Source organism: Homo sapiens, chromosome 2 (assembly GCF_000001405.40).
Source record: "Homo sapiens chromosome 2, GRCh38.p14 Primary Assembly".
NCBI lineage: Eukaryota > Metazoa > Chordata > Mammalia > Primates > Hominidae > Homo > Homo sapiens.
Window position 1 is genome coordinate 3,813,614 of NC_000002.12, and position 19,390 is coordinate 3,833,003.

General features: G+C 43.4%; 1 protein-coding gene across 6 annotated transcripts in view, besides 1 other annotated feature; it reads left to right on the plus strand.

Annotated features, from left to right (window-relative positions):
• Positions 1–19,390, plus strand: part of DCDC2C (doublecortin domain containing 2C) — a 144,434-nt gene that overhangs the window by 110,039 nt on the left and 15,005 nt on the right. The gene's annotated exons all lie outside the window — the stretch shown is intronic.
• Positions 13,075–13,244: an enhancer, noted in NCBI's record as "experimental_58378 CRE fragment used in MPRA reporter constructs". NCBI's record gives its function as "activates a minimal promoter by MPRAs in K562 erythroleukemia cells, with activity observed for both the introgressed and non-introgressed 2:3874363 variant alleles {active_cell/tissue: K562}" and the evidence as "EXISTENCE:reporter gene assay evidence [ECO:0000049][PMID:34662402]".

The following is a 19,390-nucleotide window of genomic DNA, read 5'->3' on the forward strand; positions in this document are numbered from 1 at the left end:
AGAATAGTTAGCTCTTCTTGTTGAATTTTTTTTTTTTTTTACCATTATGTAATGCCTCTCTTTTGTGACCTTTGCTGGTTAAAGTCTGTTTTATCAGAGACTAGGATTGCAACCCCTGCTTTTTTTTTTTTTTTTTGCTTCCCATTTGCTTGGTAAATTTTCCTCCATCCCTTTATTTTGAGCCTATGTGTGTCTTTGCACATGAGATAGGTCTCCTTAATACCACATGCTGATGAGTCTTGACTCTTTATCCAATTTGCCAGTCTGTGTCTTTTAATTAGGGCATTAGGCCATTTATATTTAAGGTTATTATTGTTATGTGTGAATTTGATCCTCTCATCATGATGCTAGCTGGTTATTTTGCAGAGTTGTTTATGTGGTTGCTTCACAGTGCCACTGGTCTGTGTACTTCTGTGTGTTTTTATAGTGGCTGGTAATGTTTTTTCCTTTCCATATTTAGTGATTCCTTCAGGATATTCTCCTGGATAACATCCTGAAGTGTGTTTTCCAGCTTTTCCATTTTCCCCACCTCCTTTTGGTACTCCAGTCAATTGTAGGTTCAGTATTTTGATGATGTCCCATATTTCTTGGAGGCTTTGTTCATCCCTTTTCATTCTTTTTTCTCTAGTCTTGTCTGCATTCCTTATTTTAGCAAGGTGGTCTTCAAACCCTGATATCCTTTCTTCCACTTGGTCAATTTGGCTATTGATACTTGTGTATGCTTCACAAAGTTCTTGTGCTGTTTTTCAGCTCCATCCTGTTGTTTATGTTCCTCTCTAAACTGGTTATTTTAGTTAGCAATTCCTCTAACCTGTTATCAAAGTTCTTAGCTTCTTTGCATTGGGTTAGAACATGCTCAGTGTAGTTTTTTATTACCCATCTTCTAAAGCCTACTTCTGTCAATTCGTCCATCTGATCATCCTCCTGTCCCCCAGTTCTGTGCCCTTGATGGAGAGACGTTGTGATCATTTGGAGGAAAGAGGCACTCTGGCCTTTTGGGTTTTCAGCATTTTTATGTTGATTCTTTCTCAGAACTACCAGAAGGAAATGCTAAGTCTGCTGGTCTGCAGAGACTGTGGCCACCCCTCCCATTAGGGGATCTGGCTTTTGTCCCTGAGCCTCTGACTGGAGTTACTGGAGTTCCTACAGGGAAGCCCTGCCCAATGAGGAAGGATGGGTCAGGTCAGGCCTAAAGAGGCACTCCGGCCACAGACTGGCACAGCCAGTGTGTTGGGCTGTAGGGGACAAGTCTTGGGACCAAGCATCCAGCTTCCCTGGCTCCATCAGGGGAAAAGCACAGCCTGGGGCTATAGAGATGGATACCCTTCTCCCACCCAGGGAGCATAGCGTGTTAGGCAGTGGCGAGTCCCAGTGCTGGCTGCTGCCCCTACCCGAAGGAGCTCAAATGGCTTAGACAGCAGGCAGCTGCAGCTGGTGCTGGTTGCCCCTCCTCTTGGGAGTTCAGTAGGCTTAAGCAGATTCCAGCTGAGAGGCTGTTAAGAGTACATGCATCTGCACATTCTAGGATTGGTACGCTAGGTCCCAGTGGCATGGGTTCACAAGTGGGATCTTCTGATCTGAGGGTTGCACAGTTCCATGGAAAAAGCACGGTTTCCCCAGCTGGGTAGCACGCTCACTCACTGCCTCCCTTTGCTGGTGGGGAGGGGGCTCCCCTGCCCTGTGTGGCTCTCAGGTGAGCCGCTGCACTGCATTGTTCTTCCTTCTCTCCTTCTTCCTCTTCCCTCCAGCTCTTAGTCAGTTCTGATGAGAGAACCTGGATATCTTGGCTGCTGATGAAGGATTCACATGCTTATTATGGTTTTCTTCAATGGGAGCCTCCGAATGCTGCTGCTTCTAGTTGGCCATCTTGACCCCGCCCCTTCTGGTTACTTTTTGCAAATTCTTTGGGATTTTCTACTTAGACAACTGTGTTGTTGTCACACGTATCCATGTGAAGAGACCACCAAACAGGCTTTGTGTGAGCAACAAGGCTGTTTATTTCACCTGGGTGCAGGCGGGCTGAGTCCGAAGAGTCAGTGAAGGGAGATAGGGATGGGGCCGTTTTATAGGATTTGGGTAGGTAGTGGAAAATTACAATCAAAGGAAGTTGTTCTCTGGCAGGGGCAGGGGTCACAAGGTGCTCAGTGGGGGAGCTTCTGAGCCAGGAGAAGGAATTTCACAAGGTAATGTCATCAGTTAAGGCAGGAACAGGCCATTTTCACTTCTTTTGTGATTCTTCAGTTACTTCAGGCCATCTGGATGTATACATGCAGGTCACAGGGGATATGATGGCTTAGCTTGGGCTCAGAGACCTGACATTCCTGTCTTCTTATATTTACAAGAAAAATAAAACAAAACAGTGTTGAAGCATTGGGGTGGCAAAAATTTTTTTTGGGTGGTATGGAGAGATAACGGGTGATGCTTCTCAGGGCTGCTTCTAGTGGGATTATGGGCGGCATGGGAACCTAGAGTGGGAGAGATTAAGCTGAAGGAAGATTTTGTGGTAAGGGGCGATATTGTGGGGTTGTTAAAAGGAGCATTTGTCACATAGAATGATTGGTGATGGCCTGGATGTGGTTTTGTATGAATTGAGGAACTAAATGGAAGACACAAAGTCCGAATAAGAGAAGGAGAAAAACAGGAATTAAAGGACTAAAAATTGGGAGGACCCAGGTCATCCAATTAGAGAGTGCCCAAGGGGTTTAGCATAATTGCTTGGTTGGTGAGTTTTTGGGCTCTATCCTTGAGTTTTTTTATGTTGTCATACACCAGGCCAGATTGATTTAGGTAAAAACAACACTCTTTATTTAAAAATATACAGAGTCAGTCCCCTTTTTTTAGCAGTAAGTTGAGGCCTCAGCAATTCTGGAAGAAAGAGAAATGCAAAGCCAGCCATTGTTTGTTAAAGGATTAGAAACGGCTAGGAGAGAGTGAGTGAGATTGATAGTGTGGTGGAGATAGCTGAGGAGAGGTACAGGGTGGCATAAGAATGGGAACGAGAATAAGAGTGAGTATAAAAGTAAAGAATAGGACTTATCAGGGTGAAAGTATTGGAGTGTGCCCTGTCAGCAAAGATTATCTATCCACTTTAAGAGAGACTTAAGGGTGGCAGTTTGAGGTATTTTAGTTTCCTGACTTGGGGCATGTAAGTAAAGTCAATTTGCCAGTCCTGGGCAGGGGCAAATCCCCAAACTTGATGTGTAGGGAAGGAAGGGGGCCTGAATAATCCCTGAGGAGTAGTAGAATAGCAGATGGAACACTGAGAAGTGATTTCCTTGAGGATAGATTTCCACAATGGAAAGGAAATGAGACGTTCTAAAAGGCGGACTAGCGGCTTGTAACCTACATGGAAGAGGTTACGAAATGATGACAGAATAGAATGGGCCTGTGAGGCTGGAAGGAGATATTTTCCTTGGTCCAAGAACCATTTGCCTTGTGTGGGAAGAGATTGATAGGTGGAAGTTTCAGTGGGGAAGCAGGTGGGAGTGACCAATGAGAAGGAGAAAAACTGCCGTGAGGGATAGAAGTTGGAACACTAGCTGCATTTTTAGCTACCTTATCAGCATTAGCACTGCCCTGAGTGATGGGATCTGGTGCCTTTTGATGGCCCTTGCAGTGAATGACTCCAGCTTCCTTTGGAAGTAAAGCGGCCTTGAGAAGAGTTTTTATTAAAGAGTCATTAATGATGGAGGACCCTTTTGTAGTGAGGAAACCTCTTTTTGCCCATATAACAGCATGGTGGTGCAGGATATGGAAGGCATATTTACGGTCAGTATAAATATTGACTCACAGTCCCTTTGCAAGAGTGAGGGCCTGAGTTAAGGCAATGAGTTTGGCTTGCTGACAGGTAGTGGAGTGGGGCAGAAAATATATGCATCAGGTGTGAGGAAGAAAATAGATTTTGGAAGTTATGAGAACTGTGGAGAGTGAGTGGAGCATAGCTTGTGATTTTGAGGGCCTCTGAAAGTATTAAAGCAGTGGCAGCTGCCACATGCAGACATGAGGGCTAGGCTAAAACAGTAAGGTTAAGTTGTTTGGACAGAAAGGCTACAGGGTGCAGTCCTGGCTCTTGTGTAACAATTCCAACCACACAGCCCTGCACTTTGGCTGTGTGTAATGAAAAAGGGTTGGGATGAGTTAGGGAGAGCTAGTGTGGGAGCAGCTTTTGGGGCTATTTTAAGGAACAGAAAGGAGTGGCTAAAGGATTTAGGATCTATGGGGTCAGCTAGGTTTCCTTTTGTGAGTTTATATAATGGTTTAGTCAGGGTGATAAAACTAGGTACCCAAAGGTGGAAGTACCTAACCATGCCTAGAAAGGAAAGGAGTTGCTGTTTTGTAGAAGGGGTTGGGGTTTGGGAGATTAGCCGGACACAATCAGCAGGGAGAGCATGTGTGTTTTCATGAAGAATTATGCCAAAATAGATAATGGATGAGGAAGAAATTTGGGCTTTGGAGGGGGATATGAGATATCCTTTTGAGAATAGATGTTGGAAGAGCAGGAGGGTGTCCTGTTGGGAAGATTTGTAGGAGGGGCTATAAAGTAGAAGGTCATCAAAATATTTAATAAGATGAGAAGCAGGTGGATGGAAAGAAAGTAAATTATGAGAAAGGGCTTGACTGAAGTAATGAGGGCTGTCCATGAAGCCTTGTGGCAGTACAGCCCAGGTAATTTGCTGAGCCTGATGGGTGTCAGGGTCTGTCCAAGTGAAAGCGAAGAGAGGCTGGGATGAAGGGTGCAAAGGAATAGTAAAGAAAGCATATTTGAGATCCTGAACAGAATAATGGGTTATGGAGGGGTTGTGGAGGGAGGTATTGAGGATAGGAGAGTATATGGCTTTGGCACCACGGGGTGGATAGGCAAGACAATTTGGTTGATAAGGGGCAGATCCTGAACTAACATGTAAGGCTTGTCCAGTTTTTGGACAGGTACAATGGGGGAATTGTAAGAAGAGTTTATATAGGCTTTAAAAGGCCATGCTGTTAATAGGCGAGTGGTAACAGGCTTTAATCCTTTTAAAGCTTGCTGTGGGATGGGATATTGGTGTTCAGTGGGGTAAGGGTGATTAGGTTTTAAAGGGATGGTAAGGGGTGCATGATCGGTCATCAAGGAGGGAGTAGAGGTGTCTTATACTTGTGGATTAAGGTGGGGAGATACAAGGGGAGAATGTGAAGGAGGCTTTGAACTGGGGAAAAGGGTGGCAATGAGGTGTGGCTGTAGCCCAGGAATAGTCAGGGAAGTAGATAATTTAGTTAAAATGTTTCAGTTAATAAGGGAACTGGGCAGGTGGGGATAACTAAAAAGGAGTGCATAAAAGAATATTGTTTACGTTGGCACCAGAGTTGTGGAGTTTTAAGAGGTTTAGAAGCCTGGCTGTCAATAGCCACAACAGCTATGGAAGCAAGGGAAACAGGCCCTTGAAAGGAAGGTAATGTGGAGTGGGTAGCCTCTGTATTGATTAAGAAGGTGATGGACTTACCCTCCACTCTAAGAGTTACCCAGAGCGTCTGTGATGGTCCAGGAAGCTTCCTAGGTGATCGGACAGCATCAGTCTTCAGCTGCTAAGCCAAGATCTGGGAAAGAGTCAGTCAGAGAGCCTTGGGCCAGAGTTCCAGGGGTTCTGGGAGTGGCTGCCAGGCGAGTTGGACAGTCCAGTTTCCAGTGGGGTCCTGCACAGATGGGACGTGGCTTAGGAGGAATCCCGGGCTGTGGGCATTCCTTGGCCCAGTGGCCAGATATCCGGCACTTGAAGCAAGATCCTGGTGGAGAAGGTCCTGTAGGAATGCTTGACCACTGCAGCTTAGACATTTCAAAGTTTTTGTGTGCTGGAGATGTGGCTGGGGTTTCTCTCACAGTGGAGGCAAGGAATTGCAACTCTTCTCTATTATTGTACACCTTGAAGGTGAGGTTAATTAACTCCCGTTGTGGGGTTTGAGGGCCGGAATCTAATTTTTGGAGCTTTATTTAATGTCAGGAGCAGATTGGGTAACAAAATGCATATTGAGAATAAGACAGCCTTCTCACCTTTCAGGGTCTACGGCTGTAAAGCATCTCAGGGTTGCTGCCAAACGAGCCATGAACTGGGCTGGGTTTTTATATTTGATGAAAAAGAGTCTAAATGCTTACTGATTTGGGAGAGATAGGATAAAGAAAAAGGAGCATTAACCTTGACTATGCCTTTAGCTCTGGCCACCTCTTTAAGAGGAAATTGTTGGGCAGGTGGGGGAGGGCTAGTCACGGGACGAAACTGTAAGCCAGACTGGGTGTGAGAAGGGGAGGTGATAGAAGGATTATAGGGTGGGGGAGCAGAGGCTGAGGAAGAATTGCAACCTGGCTAGGCCTGGCGAGGAGCAGCCTGGGGAGGAGGCAAGAGGTCAGATGGGTCTGTAGAAAAGGAGGATTTAAAGGACTCAGAGCTTGGGGTGGAGACCGAAGGAACAGACAGGAGAGAAAGAAGAAAGATTTGGGATGAGTTGCATTGGGAGCAGAGACTAGGGTGGGACCAATGTGTAAAAGAATGCCTGGACGTCAGGCACCTCAGACCATTTGCCCATTTTTTGACGAAAATCATCCAGGTCTTATAAAATGGAGAAATCAGAAGTGCCATTTTCTGGCTATTTAGAACAATTATCGAGTTTGTATTGGGGCCAAGTGGTGTTGCAGAAGAAAATAAGACGCTTAAGTTTTAGGTCAGGCAAGAGTTGAAGAGGTTTTAAGTTTTTGAGAACACAGGCTAAGGGAGAAGAAGGGGGAATGGAGGGTGGAAAGTTGCCCATAATGAAGCAGGCAAGCCCAGAGAAAAGAGAGGGTAGAGACACGGAGAAGGGGGTTAGTGAGCAGCGAAAGCAGGCATCCCCGCAATCGACTTGCCACCAAGGGAATGTGGGTGAATGACCAAGGCAGGCAGCCCCGTGGTGATCAGACACCAATGGAGTGTGGGTGAATAATCAGGCAGGTGTCCCCACAGTGATTAAACACCAAGGGAAGACTGTCTTCCCAAGTCCGTGACCGGTGCCGGAGTTTTGGGTCCACGGATAAAATGTGTCTCCTTTGTCTCTACTAGAGAGGAAAAAGAACTGGAATTGGAAGGACGGGGAGATTGGAGGGTAGCAAGAGAGGGAGATTGAAGGGTAGGGAGAGAGGGAGATTGAAGGGTAGCAAGAGAGGCTGGAGAAGAGAGTGAAAAGACTGCTTACCTCATTTGAAATTGGTGAGATGTTCCTTGGGCTGGTTGGTCTGAGGACCTGAGGTTGTAGGTAGATCTCCTCATGGAGTGAGGGCAAGGACAGGGGACCAGTCTCCAGAAGGAGTCCTCCTGTCCTGGGTTTTGGGACCAAATGTCATGTGCTTCTGTGTAAAGAGTCCACCAAACAGGCTTTGTGTGAGCAACAAGGCTGTTTATTTCACCTGGTTGCAGGCGGGCTGAGTCCAAAAAGAGAGTCAGCAAAGGGAGATAGGGATGGGGCCGTTTTATAGGATTTGGGTAGGTAGTGGAAAATTACAATCAAAGGGGATTGTTCTCTGGTGGGCAGGGGCGGGGGTCACAAGGTGCTCAGTGGGGGAGCTTCTGAGCCAGGAGAAGGAATTTCACAAGGTAATGTCATCAGTTAAGGCAGGAACTAGCCATTTTTACTTCTTTTGAGATTCTGCAGTTACTTCAGGCCATCTGGATGTATATGTGCAGGTCACAGGGGATATGATGGTTTAGCTTGGGCTCAGAGACCTGACAGTTGTCTGTAAATCAAGACCATATTATGTTTTTTTTTCCTATGTGGATGCTTTACTGAACTGGCTATGATCTCCTGTGAGATGCTGAGTAGGAGTGGTGATGTCAGACATGTTTGACTTCCTCCTGATCATAAGGGGAAAACATTCAGACTTTGTATGCATAGATTAATATACATTTTTTATAGATGCCATTTATTAGCTTGAGAAAGTTACTCTGTATCCTGGTTTGCTGAGAGTTTTACCATGAATGGATGTTGAATTTTGTAAAATGGCTTTTCTGCGTCTATTAAGATAACATGTGGTTTTCTTTTCCAGTGTGTTGCTTGAGATACCAGATTATTACATTGATTGATTTTTCAAATGTTGAGCCAGACTTGCATTCCTGGGGTAAACCCCACTTGTTCATGAATCAGCTGTTTATCCAAGGAGGCCTGGTTCCTTTAATTGAAGAAAGGTATTTAGAAATCAAATCTCCTTTATTTTTATAATTTTATGTAACTCTGTAATTCACATGCCATCAAAATGACCCTTTAGAAGTATAATTAAATGCTTTATATTATGTTCACAGAGTTGGATGGTCATTACCACTCTCTAATTTCAGAATATTTTTATCACCCTAAAGGGAAACTATGTACCCATTAACAGTCACTCCTTATTCCCTACCCCTAGTCTACTAATCGACCTTCAGTATCTGTGGATTTGCCTATTATCAGTGTTCCATACAAATTGAATCAAATAATGTGTCCCTTTATGTCTGTCTTCTCTTACTCAGCATAATGTTTTCAAGGTTATTCCATGTTGTAGCATGTATCAGTACTTTATTCTTTTAATGGCTGAATAGTATTCCATTGTGTGTTAATTCTTTAAATGTTTGGTAGAATTCACAAGTGAAGCCATTTGTGCTTAGCTTTTTCTGTTTTCATGGGAAGTTTTTTGATTACTAATTCAGTCTCTTTACTTGTTATAGTTTTATTTATACTTTATGTTTCTTCTTGAGTTACTTTCAGTAGTTTGTGTCTTTCTAAGAATTTATAAATTTTGTGTAGGTTATTTAACTCATTGGCAAACAATTATTTATAGTAGTCTCTTATAATCACCTTATTTCTGTGAAGTCAATAGTGTTATTCCCTGTACATTTCTGATTTTATCAATTTTAGTGTTCTCTTTTTTTCTTGATCAGTCTAGCTAAAAGTTTGTCAATTTTGCTGATTTTTTTTTTTCCAAAAATCTAGCTTTTGGTTTCACTGAATTTTCTCTAGTTTTAAAATTTTCTATTTTACTTTTTCCACTCTAATCTTTATTATTTTTTCCTTCTGCTTGCCTTGAGTTTTGTTTGCTCTTTCCTTTTTGTATAGCTTCTTAAGGTGGAAGTTTCAGTAACTGATTTGAGCTCTTTCTTCCTTTTTAATATGGCATTTAAAGCTATACATTTCTAATATCGTTTGGCTGTTTCCCCACCCAAATCTCATCTTGTATTCTCATGTGTTGTAGCAGGGACCTGGTGGGAGGTAATTGAATCATAAGGGGTGGGTCTTTCCCATGCTGATCTTGTGATAGTGAGTAAGTCTCATGAGATCTGATGGTTTTATAAGTGGGAGTTTCCCTGCACACACTCTCTTGCCTGCTGCCATCCGTGTAAGGTGTGACTTGTTCCTCCTTGCCTTCCACCATGATTGTGAGGCTTACCCAGGCACATGGAACTGTAAGTCTATTAAACTTCTTTCTTTTGTAAATCTCCCAGTCTTGGGTATGTCTTTATCAGCAGCATGAAAACAGACTAATACAATTTCCCTCTAAGCACTGCTCTAGTTGTATCCTGTAAATTTTATTGTGTTTTAGTTTTCATTCATCTCAAAGTATTTTCTAATTTTTCTGTGGTTTCCTCTCTGATCTATTTTTTTTTCATTTAAGAGCATGTTTTTAGATTTTCACATATTTGTAAGTTTTCCAATTTCCTTCTATTATTGATTTCTAACGTCATTCCGTTGTGTTCAGAGAACATGTAATTTCAAGCCTTTTACCTTTATTGAGACTTGTTTTATGGCCTAATATTTGGTTTATCCTGAGTAATGTTCTCTATGCACTTGAGAAGAATACACATTCTGCTGTTGTTGGGTAGAGTAGAGTGTCTTATGTCTTGTTGGTTTATGTTGTTCATGTTTTTAATTTCTTTATCTTCTACCCAGTTGTTAAAAGTAAAGTATTGAATTCTCCAACTGTTAATGTTGAATTATCTATTTCTTTTCTCAACTCAGTCAGTTTTTGCTCCATGTATTTTGGGACTCATGTTAGGCTTCTTCATTTATAAAGGATATTTTCATGGATATAGAATTCTGTGTTGATAGTTTTTTTTCTTTTATATCTTTATCAATGTTATTCCCATTGACTTCTGATTTCCATTGTTTCAAGTGAGAATTTTCATCTTTTTGAATTTTTTTGAATTTTCATCAAATTCAACTGTAATTTTCATCTTTGTTTCTCTTTATATTATGTGTCTGCAGTTACTGCATGGTGTTCACCTTTTCCACTAGAGCAGGATTTGGCAAAGCTTTCCAGGAAGGGAGATGGTGAGTATTTTAGGCTGTGTGCCATGTGGTCTTTGTTGCAACTCATCAGCTGTGCTGCTGTAGTGAGGAAACAGTCATAGACAATAAGTAAACACATGGGCATGGCATGTTCCAGTGAAATATTTACAGAATCAGACAGAAGCCTGGATTCAGTCCATGGACTGTAGCTTGCTCACTCCCGGTCTGAAGTTGCAAATGTATTTATTAGAGTTATTTAGAATTCCCTATTTGATAGTTCCAGGATGTGGATCATATCTGTATCTGGTCCCATTGATTGTTGTATGATTTGGTGGTGAGTTATTTTTTCTCTTTTTCATGTGTTTGAAAACTTTTGGTTAAAAGCTTGATATCATATGTAGCAGGGATTGGCAAACTTCTCTGCAAAGTGCCAGAGAGGGAGTATTTTAGACTTCACAGGCTATACCAACTCTATTGCAACTACTCAACTCTGTTTTATTGCAGACATAGACAAATCTTGAATGAAAAGGCTTGACTGTGTCCCAATAAACCATTACGTATGAAAACAGATGGTGGGCTGGATTTGATACACAGGCTGTAGAGACTGAGGTAAACAGTCTGTATGCCATGCAATGTGCATACCTCCTTTTCTGCTAGGCCTTTTTGCGGGGGCTTGAATCAGCCTAGAGAGGAGTTTAGTTGAGGTTTGTTGTTATGGCTACCTTCAGTGCACCACTGGCTTCAAATTCATTACTTTCTGCTTAGGGTTGGGGCTGGTTTCCTTCAACAGGTTTTCTCACTGCTCCTGTCCCACCTTCAGCTCTAGGTTTCTCTTCCCCCCGACCCCAGAGCAGTCTTGCTCCGTGCTCTTGCCCCTTCCCTAGCTGTAGACTTCTGATACTTGTCACTGGATGCCTGTTGCCTGCTGAGGTTTCTCTTTTTTTCTGTTTCAGCCTCATGTTTAGGCAGGATTTCTGTATCTGGGTCTTGGAAGTGGGGATTTCTCAGTGGTCCTGCCTCTTCTCTGGCAGTAGAGGACCTATCAAAATCTGGACCCAGAATGATTTCTTGCCCCTTTCCCAGAAGTGGAGGGTTTTATTCTGTTCCCTTCTCCAGCCACAGTGGGTCTTCATCAGTTCCCTGGCAGTGACCGGTTTTGCTGTCTTCCTCTCAGAAGCTAAAGCCTTGTCCCCTAGTGGGAGGGTTTAGGGAGGGCCCTGAGGTTTCCTGCGGCAGTGGGCTCCTTTCCAGCCTTGCATCATGGGGGACACTTTCCCTTACCTGCTGCCCTAGCCCCTCATCTCTTTTGTGAGCAATCGGTGAAGTCTGCAGAAAATACCCTGGGAGTCAGTACAAGCTCTCCTGTACCTGCAGCTTCTGCAGTCACCTATATGCACCAAAACTCTTAGCAGAAATCTTCTTAGGCCTTTCTTTGGCACAGTCTTGTCTTTCTCTTAGGCCCTGCCCTAGGGAAGCCAGGCTCGAATCCTGTGCCTTCTAGGAGGAATTTATCTTTCTTTAGATTTCAGGCTAATTGGTTGCCTTGTGACCTGAACTCTCTGATGGGTTCAAGAGGGTTATAATTTTGTAGATTGTCTGGCTTTTTCTTATTGGTAAGGCAGGAGCTTGTCATTACAGTAGTTTTCTTTCCAAGTTAAAGCTGGGTCATTTTTGATATGGAAAATGTTTAGGGAGACAGGATGGCAGTGGAGAGCTTGCAGTGACCCATGGGGATTAGTATGAAACGGGTCTGTAGCTCCTGGTCTCCAGTGTGGTCATGGCACTGCCCTGATTTGAGTTCAACAACCTGGGATGGAGGCTGAAGGTTGACTAGCAGAGCTTATTTAGACAGTGGGGATCCTGGGGGCTTCATATATCTGGGTCTGGACTTCCAGGGCAGAATGAAGCTGATCACTGCTGTAGCCAGGAGAGGTGGGTGGCCTGCTAGGGTTAGCCCGGCTCTCGTGTCTTGGCAAATCATCGTTGAGTGCATTCACATCTTCAGTGGACTAACCTTTGCTATAAATCTCATGCCTCAGGATCCAGCAGTAGCTGAGCCTTCGTGTCCTGAGGACTCTTGTTTATTGTTCAGAGAAAAGAGTTTCAGCTGCTAACACTGATGGTTTCTGTTTCAGGAAAACAATTCACGAGGGTCTTTTAAGAAAAAGTTGCCCTTAAGACACACCACAAAGAAAAAAGATATGTCAAAGAAATAGAAATTTATATATTCTGTAATAACCCAGCCATGGATGAAAATACTTGTAAGATCCTCTTGTAAACAGCTGGCATAATGTAGGCTAAATATAGTTTAAAATATGCAGAGAACACTCAGTAGGGAAAAGATCTTCCTTTCCATCCACCACCTCCTCCTTGCTCCCCATTAAAAACCCCATAATAATATCACCAGATACAAATTTTTAAAGTTTTTCATGGCTCTTTATTTGTTACCATAATTCTTTTTCCAATTATAGTTTTAAAATCAGTTTATAAAGAGTTTTCATGTATATGACTTTCTGGTGTAACATATTAGCCATAAAGAGAAGAAAAATGATATATCACAGTATTAATTGATATAATGCTTGGGAAAGTGCTTTGCAAATTGTAAAAATCTTTTGTAGGTATTAGCTTTTTTTTTTAAATTATGTATGTCAGATATTTTATAAATGAGGAAACTGAGGCATAGAGAAGGGGGTACCCTGCCCCACGAGGTCACAGGTCATTTCCCACATTGCTGATCTTGAAGCGTGCTAGCTGGCACTCGCTGACAGGCTGCATCTTCTGAGGTTCGAAGGTCCCCTCTCTGTGGGTAGGAATGGAAATCCCAACAGCTCCTTCCACAGCTTTGCGTGGTGTCTAAGATCTTTATCTCCTTGGATGTGATTTAGTCCCCCAAATAAAGCACCTGCAGCCCCCATTAAAAAGTATGGTAATTAAGATCCTATGAGATAATATGTCCTATGAGATTACCTGATAGTAAGGATTACCTAATGCCATGTGCATTGCATCTCTGTGGCCTTCCTCCCTCCTTCCCTCTCTCCGTCCCTCCATCCCTCCCTCCCCTGCCTCCCTCCCTTCCCTGCCTCCCTCCCTCTCTTCTTCCCTTCCTCCCTCCAATTGTTTATTAAGTGGACCTATGTGTGAGGACCTGAATGTTCTTCCTCTTGAAGACAAATATAGAAGGAGTCTTGACCAAAGGAGAGGTTGAGAGGAGCTCTGCTAGCTCACGGGGAGGCAGACAAGCCACACCCCAGCCCATCACCCATCACAGTGGTTGACATCTCTTAGAATTCAGACTTGATTAAAATCAGATTAAATTAACCCTGAGGGGAGGCTGGAAGGGGAAGAGATCCTCTCAGAGCTGCCTGAAGGCTACATATGGAGTGGAGGACATCTGGGCCTTGTTGGACACCAAAAGGCAAAGCCACGTGGAAGGGGAGGCAGCAGGGGCAGGGATGGGGGTGGGGGTCCACTTGGTGTGTTGGAAGCAGCAGCCTGGGACCGGGGAGACAGGAACACAAGAGGGTCAGGTGGTTCTCAGGTCCCAAGCTGGAGTGAGAGCTCTCTGGGTGGTGATCTTCATGCTGTTCTCTTCTGTGGACTGGGAGAAAAAGGTGGAGTAACCCTGGCTTACTTGGGACCCATCATACATTATGCTAATTGGGGTTTCAGCTTCAAAATTTCATTTTAATTGTTGATATTACTTCAGTCAACATCTTTCAACAATTTGTTTTGAATGTTGGGGAAATATACTTTCCATTGAATCCTGGGGAATGTTTACCTTCTGATTTTCTCCTCTTGCTGGTAACTTAAGAGAAAAGACATCATTCAGTGTGATAAATGCCAACTAGATTATCAGAGAAGCTTTTTCTGCTTTCAAGAAAAGTGGTTCCCCTAGATATTAAAATATAAAGATGCTATTTTCACCACATTGGAGCAGAAGTGCATTTGGGCCCCAGATCGCCACCTAGTGACCAGAAAAGAACCCATTGGGCATAACCAATAAGTCTGATGGGTGTCCATCCAGTTTTAGAATGTGGGTCTCTTCTCTTTTTGTTACTTGATTTTTAACTGAAGGATGCTCTTCAGGTGACAATTTGCCCCAGAAAAAAATATCAGTGGGCAAACTGTACCTCTTTTCTCCTTTCAGCCCTTCCTCTGCCCTTTCAAGTCAAAATTCTGAGTACTTTCAAAAATCACATGAAAGTCTGCAGACTTTTATTGAGCCTTCAGTTTATAAAACATACATGGAACCATCTGCCATAATAATTTAAAAATATGTGTGGATTATAAACTGCCTTTGTAGACATTTCCTTTTGATTTTTATTTTCACGGTAACAACCTTGCCAGATGGTTATTCTCAATACAGTGATTACCTGTCTTGTGCTTGGTGACAAAGGTGACAATAGAAACAGCAGAAATTGAAGCAGATTGCCTCCTCTTCCTACCTACACTCCATGGCCAGGAAAGTGGTGTGCTGGGTGCAGGGCGGGTGCCGCTCACCCGGGGCTGCCCTCTCTCTGTGGGCTTGCCTCATCATGTCAGCTCTGGGCAGCCTGGGGAGGTGACAGTGAGTTATTTTATAAGCTCACTAGTTTGTTTCCAAGTGCCCAGCAACCCTTTGGGCTCTACCCAACAGCATCATAGTCCAATTACAGCCTTCAAAGTCTCTGAGCCGTTTCTCACTATGCTGCATTACACAGGGCTGTTGAAGTTCATCAGCCAGTTTGAGGCCACCAGAAATTGAGGCCCAGCAGGCAGATTTATTTGGGAGGAGGGAATGAGCCCATTTCACACTTCACTTAAAACATGTTGCCTTTCCTGCTGAATGCTTATGGCTGTTAGTGGCCATCAATCCTACCAAATTCTGTAGAATCAGGTGCTTCAAAGTCCTGGAATTCTTGCCACTTGCAACACCTTGTTTCCGAAACATTGCAGTGCCTTCTGATATTTTGTGAGTTTGCAAGTTTCATTTTTCTGGGAGAATAAGGCAATGTTAAGTCCTTGAAGTTTAATTCAAGGCAGTAGTAAGTTTTTCTTTTACTCACTGGAAATCATTTTTGGCTATTTTGTTGAAGTTATTTTTGTTTGTTTTTGAGAATTAGGAAGCGGAGGGGTATTCAAAAAGAGGGGACACAAGAAACCAAAAAATACCAATTATTTTCACTATCATTTTTCAGTCTGCTTTACTTTGCTTCGAAGTGTTCACACTTCCAGTGGCCCCGGCACAGGAACGCACGGTCACGCTGCACAGGGCCTGTGATGCTGGCTTTAGAAACCTCCTTCTTTTGCAGTGTGTGTGCAACGCAACCGCTTCACCGCTTCTTCTCAGTTTCTTTGTGTGCTGTGAGCCTGAGAATCCGGATGCATAGCATTTTCAGGCTGGATTCTCATTCCGTAAGGCTTCATTAGATGTCTTTTTCTTTTTTTTTTTTTTTTGCATTGATTTTAGTCAATCTGGCAACTAAGGAATGGTTAAAAATGAATTTTTAACATTTTATGATCATAAATTAGCTTGGCTCTGTGAGGAACTGTTATTGATTGTCATTCAAAAAGCTACTGGCACTTGGTGACAGAGTTTAGCAGGCAGGGCAGGCCCTCGTGGAGAGTGGAGCACACAGTTGCCTGCCCGACCTGCCTTTTTGATCACATGTTCCCAGTTCAAAAGCACATCCTGGTCGTGCTGCGCGGTTCCTATAATCTTTTCCTGTCTATTTGGACAGCCTCTTTTGACTTGTGATAACAGCCTGCTCCAAGCAAAATTAATCACAATGGTTTATTTTTTAATTCTTTCTTAATATCTTTGGGTAAAGCTACAGAGATTTACTCCCCTGAACCAGGCTTCTGCTCATTTTCCCTGCTGTTTTTATGATTTTCGTTAAGACCACCCCAAGCAGAGTAGAAAATCTCTGGGTTTCGGGGCCTTCGGTTCTCTCTCACCACTCACAGAATCCTTTCGTCCCTGCTTTTCCTCTTCCTATTAGGTGGCTGGTGGATAAAACCTCTGCTTTTGATGGCTGTTATCAGTTATTGACACATAATGTGAAATTAAGTCAGTGTCAGCTTCTGAAGCTTGCCGCTCTAAGTCTTAGCTTCTGTTGTGGAATGGAAGTGGCTGCCCTCTGTGAAGAAGCCGTCAGGGCATCTGAATGTTAGTGCCATATAGGCTGGGAGGGCAGCCCTGGGCTGTAGATAAGGATGTTGGCCGTGCAGAAAATTATTTCACTGAATATGCATCTTATTTTACCCAAGGATAAGGAGAGCTGACAGAAAACCCAATGGTTAATGTTTGCTTGGTGGTTCAGGCCCTGATGTTTGTGCTTACATATCAATCAGCTTACCTAAATGCATCTCTGCAGTTTCCCAAATATTTGGTAGGTGACAACCTAGCCACTTGGTATTTCTTGTGATCCTGGAAATAACGAGTGCTTTTATTGGAGGTTTTTTTTTTTGTTCATCCATTAGTGATGTTCTGTGATCTTTTGCTTAGGTGTAAAATGATGCCTAGTACTGCAGTGTGGTGCAGAGGAGAGCAAGCACTGGGCCTGCATCCACAAGACCTGCCAGTAGCCCTGGACCTGCTGTCGAGGGGCTGTATCCACTCAGGCCCATTGCAGGGGCCCCATGTCCTCATTGGTAAGATGAGGCCAAGGAATTAGATGCTCCTTCTTGGTTCCAGCTCTTGGGAAATTTGTGAACTCCACACAGGTTCAGCCCTTCCTCTTGTCTTCTTGAGCCTGATGGGCATGAGCAGGAAGCTGCACCCCGTAGTCGCGACCCCACTCCATGTGGCTGGGCAGGTTAAAGGGGAGCCATGGGACCAGAGGCTTAGTGGTCCATTTGGGCTCTGTGGTGGGATTGACCTTGACTCACGGTGGGTGGTTGTTTGAACTCTGAATACAGACTCTTCGCCTTCAGACAGAACAAGATCCAAACAATTCTAGAAGAGTGTTCACTACATTTTTCTTTGCCTCAGATACTTTGCTTACTACTAAATGTAACTCTTTTCTGAGAATCTCAAATTTCTATTTCTTTCTTTGTTGGCCGAACTCACTCACTTCCTGTATGGCATTTGATTTAAACACAGCCTTTCTTCAGTCTCTTGGGGTGGATAATTTCAGCCTGATAAAATGATCTTTTGAGTTTTGTAAAATTGTTTCTGAGCAATTCCGAGTAGGATTTACTTGGCGACTTTCCTCAGTAGTGATCAAAGATCGTGTGCTTTGGACATATGACTGCACCGAGAAGGAACATTTCCTTTGCCTTCCTGGCAGCCGTAAAAACTTGGGGTGGTTTTCTCCTATTTGTAGACAGCCCTCTTCCAAATGATCCTAAAGAAGTTGTCACTGGATGCATTAAAATTGCCAAGAGGATTTTAACATGTACTTACAGCTGTGCATTGCTCAATGATGGGGTGTGTTCTGAGAAATGCTCCTTTAGATGATTCTGCCCTTGTGCAAACGTCAGAGAGCGACGTGCACAAACCTCGATGGCACAGCCTACTGCACACCTCGGCTATGTGGTGTAGCCTATTGCCTATTGCCCAGACTGCAAACCTGTACAGTAAATGACCGTACTGAATAACATCGGCAACTGTAACGCAGTGGTGAGTATTTGTGCATCTGAACATATCTAATCATAGAAAAGATACAATCAAATATGGTATTATAATTTTAAGGAACCACCATTGGACATGTGGCCTTTTGTTGATGGAAACATCATTATGCTGCATATGACAGTGTTTAAAAAATCATTTAAGAATGCTTGAAAATGGAAAGAGGAGAAGCAAAATGTTAATCAGAGGAACTCAGCACCCAAACAAACTTGCCTAATTGAATTCAGCCATGTGTGTGGTGGAACGTGTAGAAGTCAGAGTCCTCGGATCAAACACCAGCCCTTCCTGCTTGACATCTGTGATGTCTAAGGCAGAGCGCTCCGCCTCTCTGAATGTTATTTCCCTCATCTACAAAAGGAACTGCACATGGCAGTGTTGTGATGTTGAATGAGAAAAGGGATCTAAAGGCTGAAAATGAAAACCATGCGCGAATGGAAGGTAGCCCTGCCTTCTTCACTTTCCTCTTCTGGACTTTCCTTGAGTTCCCTATGTCGGTTCTGTTGCGTCATGTGCAGGAATCAGTGTCTCCTGGCATGGCGAGGGGCTCTTTCTACTTGTGTATCTTCATCTGGGTCCTAATGTAATTTCCAGTCCCCTCTGCACACCTGATTTCGATTGTGCATCTCTTTGACGTTGGATGGTTACTGTATGTCAAACAATATCGAAATCAAAACATCTGCCAACACTAAATGGTTTCAGAAAGTATTCTTGTCTGTTTTCACCATACATTTGTGTTGAATTTCCCAGCAAATTTCATAGGAAAAATCACCTATAGCACAAGTTTTCATTCCATTCAAAAGTAGACTCCAATATGTTTTTGTCAGTGTGAATAAAGGAATAATAAATAGCTTATCACCTGATTGAAATTCAGACTAAGAAAGAACCATCAAGATCCTGTAGCCAATCTACCCGTCTCCTTTGCACTTTCTCTTCAGATAGGTGGTCCCACTGCTTCATTCTTCCTTGAAGCAACCTTTGTGTTTGTAGGAGAGTGTTGGGTGCTCTGAGATTGTTGATAACATAGAACTAAAGCCGCTCGAGGCCATACACAGTGAAGCTGGCTGCTCTGCCACTCTTCCTATCAAAGCTTCGTTTCCATTAGGGCAGATCCATCTTGTATTTGAAGAGAGCTTTTATGTTCCGCTTGAGTCTTCTCTTCTCCAAACCAAGTCAAACACCCGAGTCCCTCCAATATTAGGCATATGGCCTGATTTGTAGTCATTTTCTTCACATTTATTTAAATGCCTCTGATGGTGTGGCCCCAGCACTGAGCGCAGGGCTCAAGGTGAGAGTGAGCCATGCAGTTTCTCTCCCCCAATGTCTAGTGTATACCTCCCTATACTGCACTTCCCCAGAGGACGTTGGAGATGGCAGGAGTGCTTTTATTAATTTCCAATGGCTACTGTGGCAAATTACCATGAATTTAGTGGCTTAAAACAGCACAAGGTTATGATTTACAGTTCTGTAGGTCAGAAATTCAACACGGGTCTCATTGGACTAAAGCCAAGTTGCTGGCTTGGCTGCATT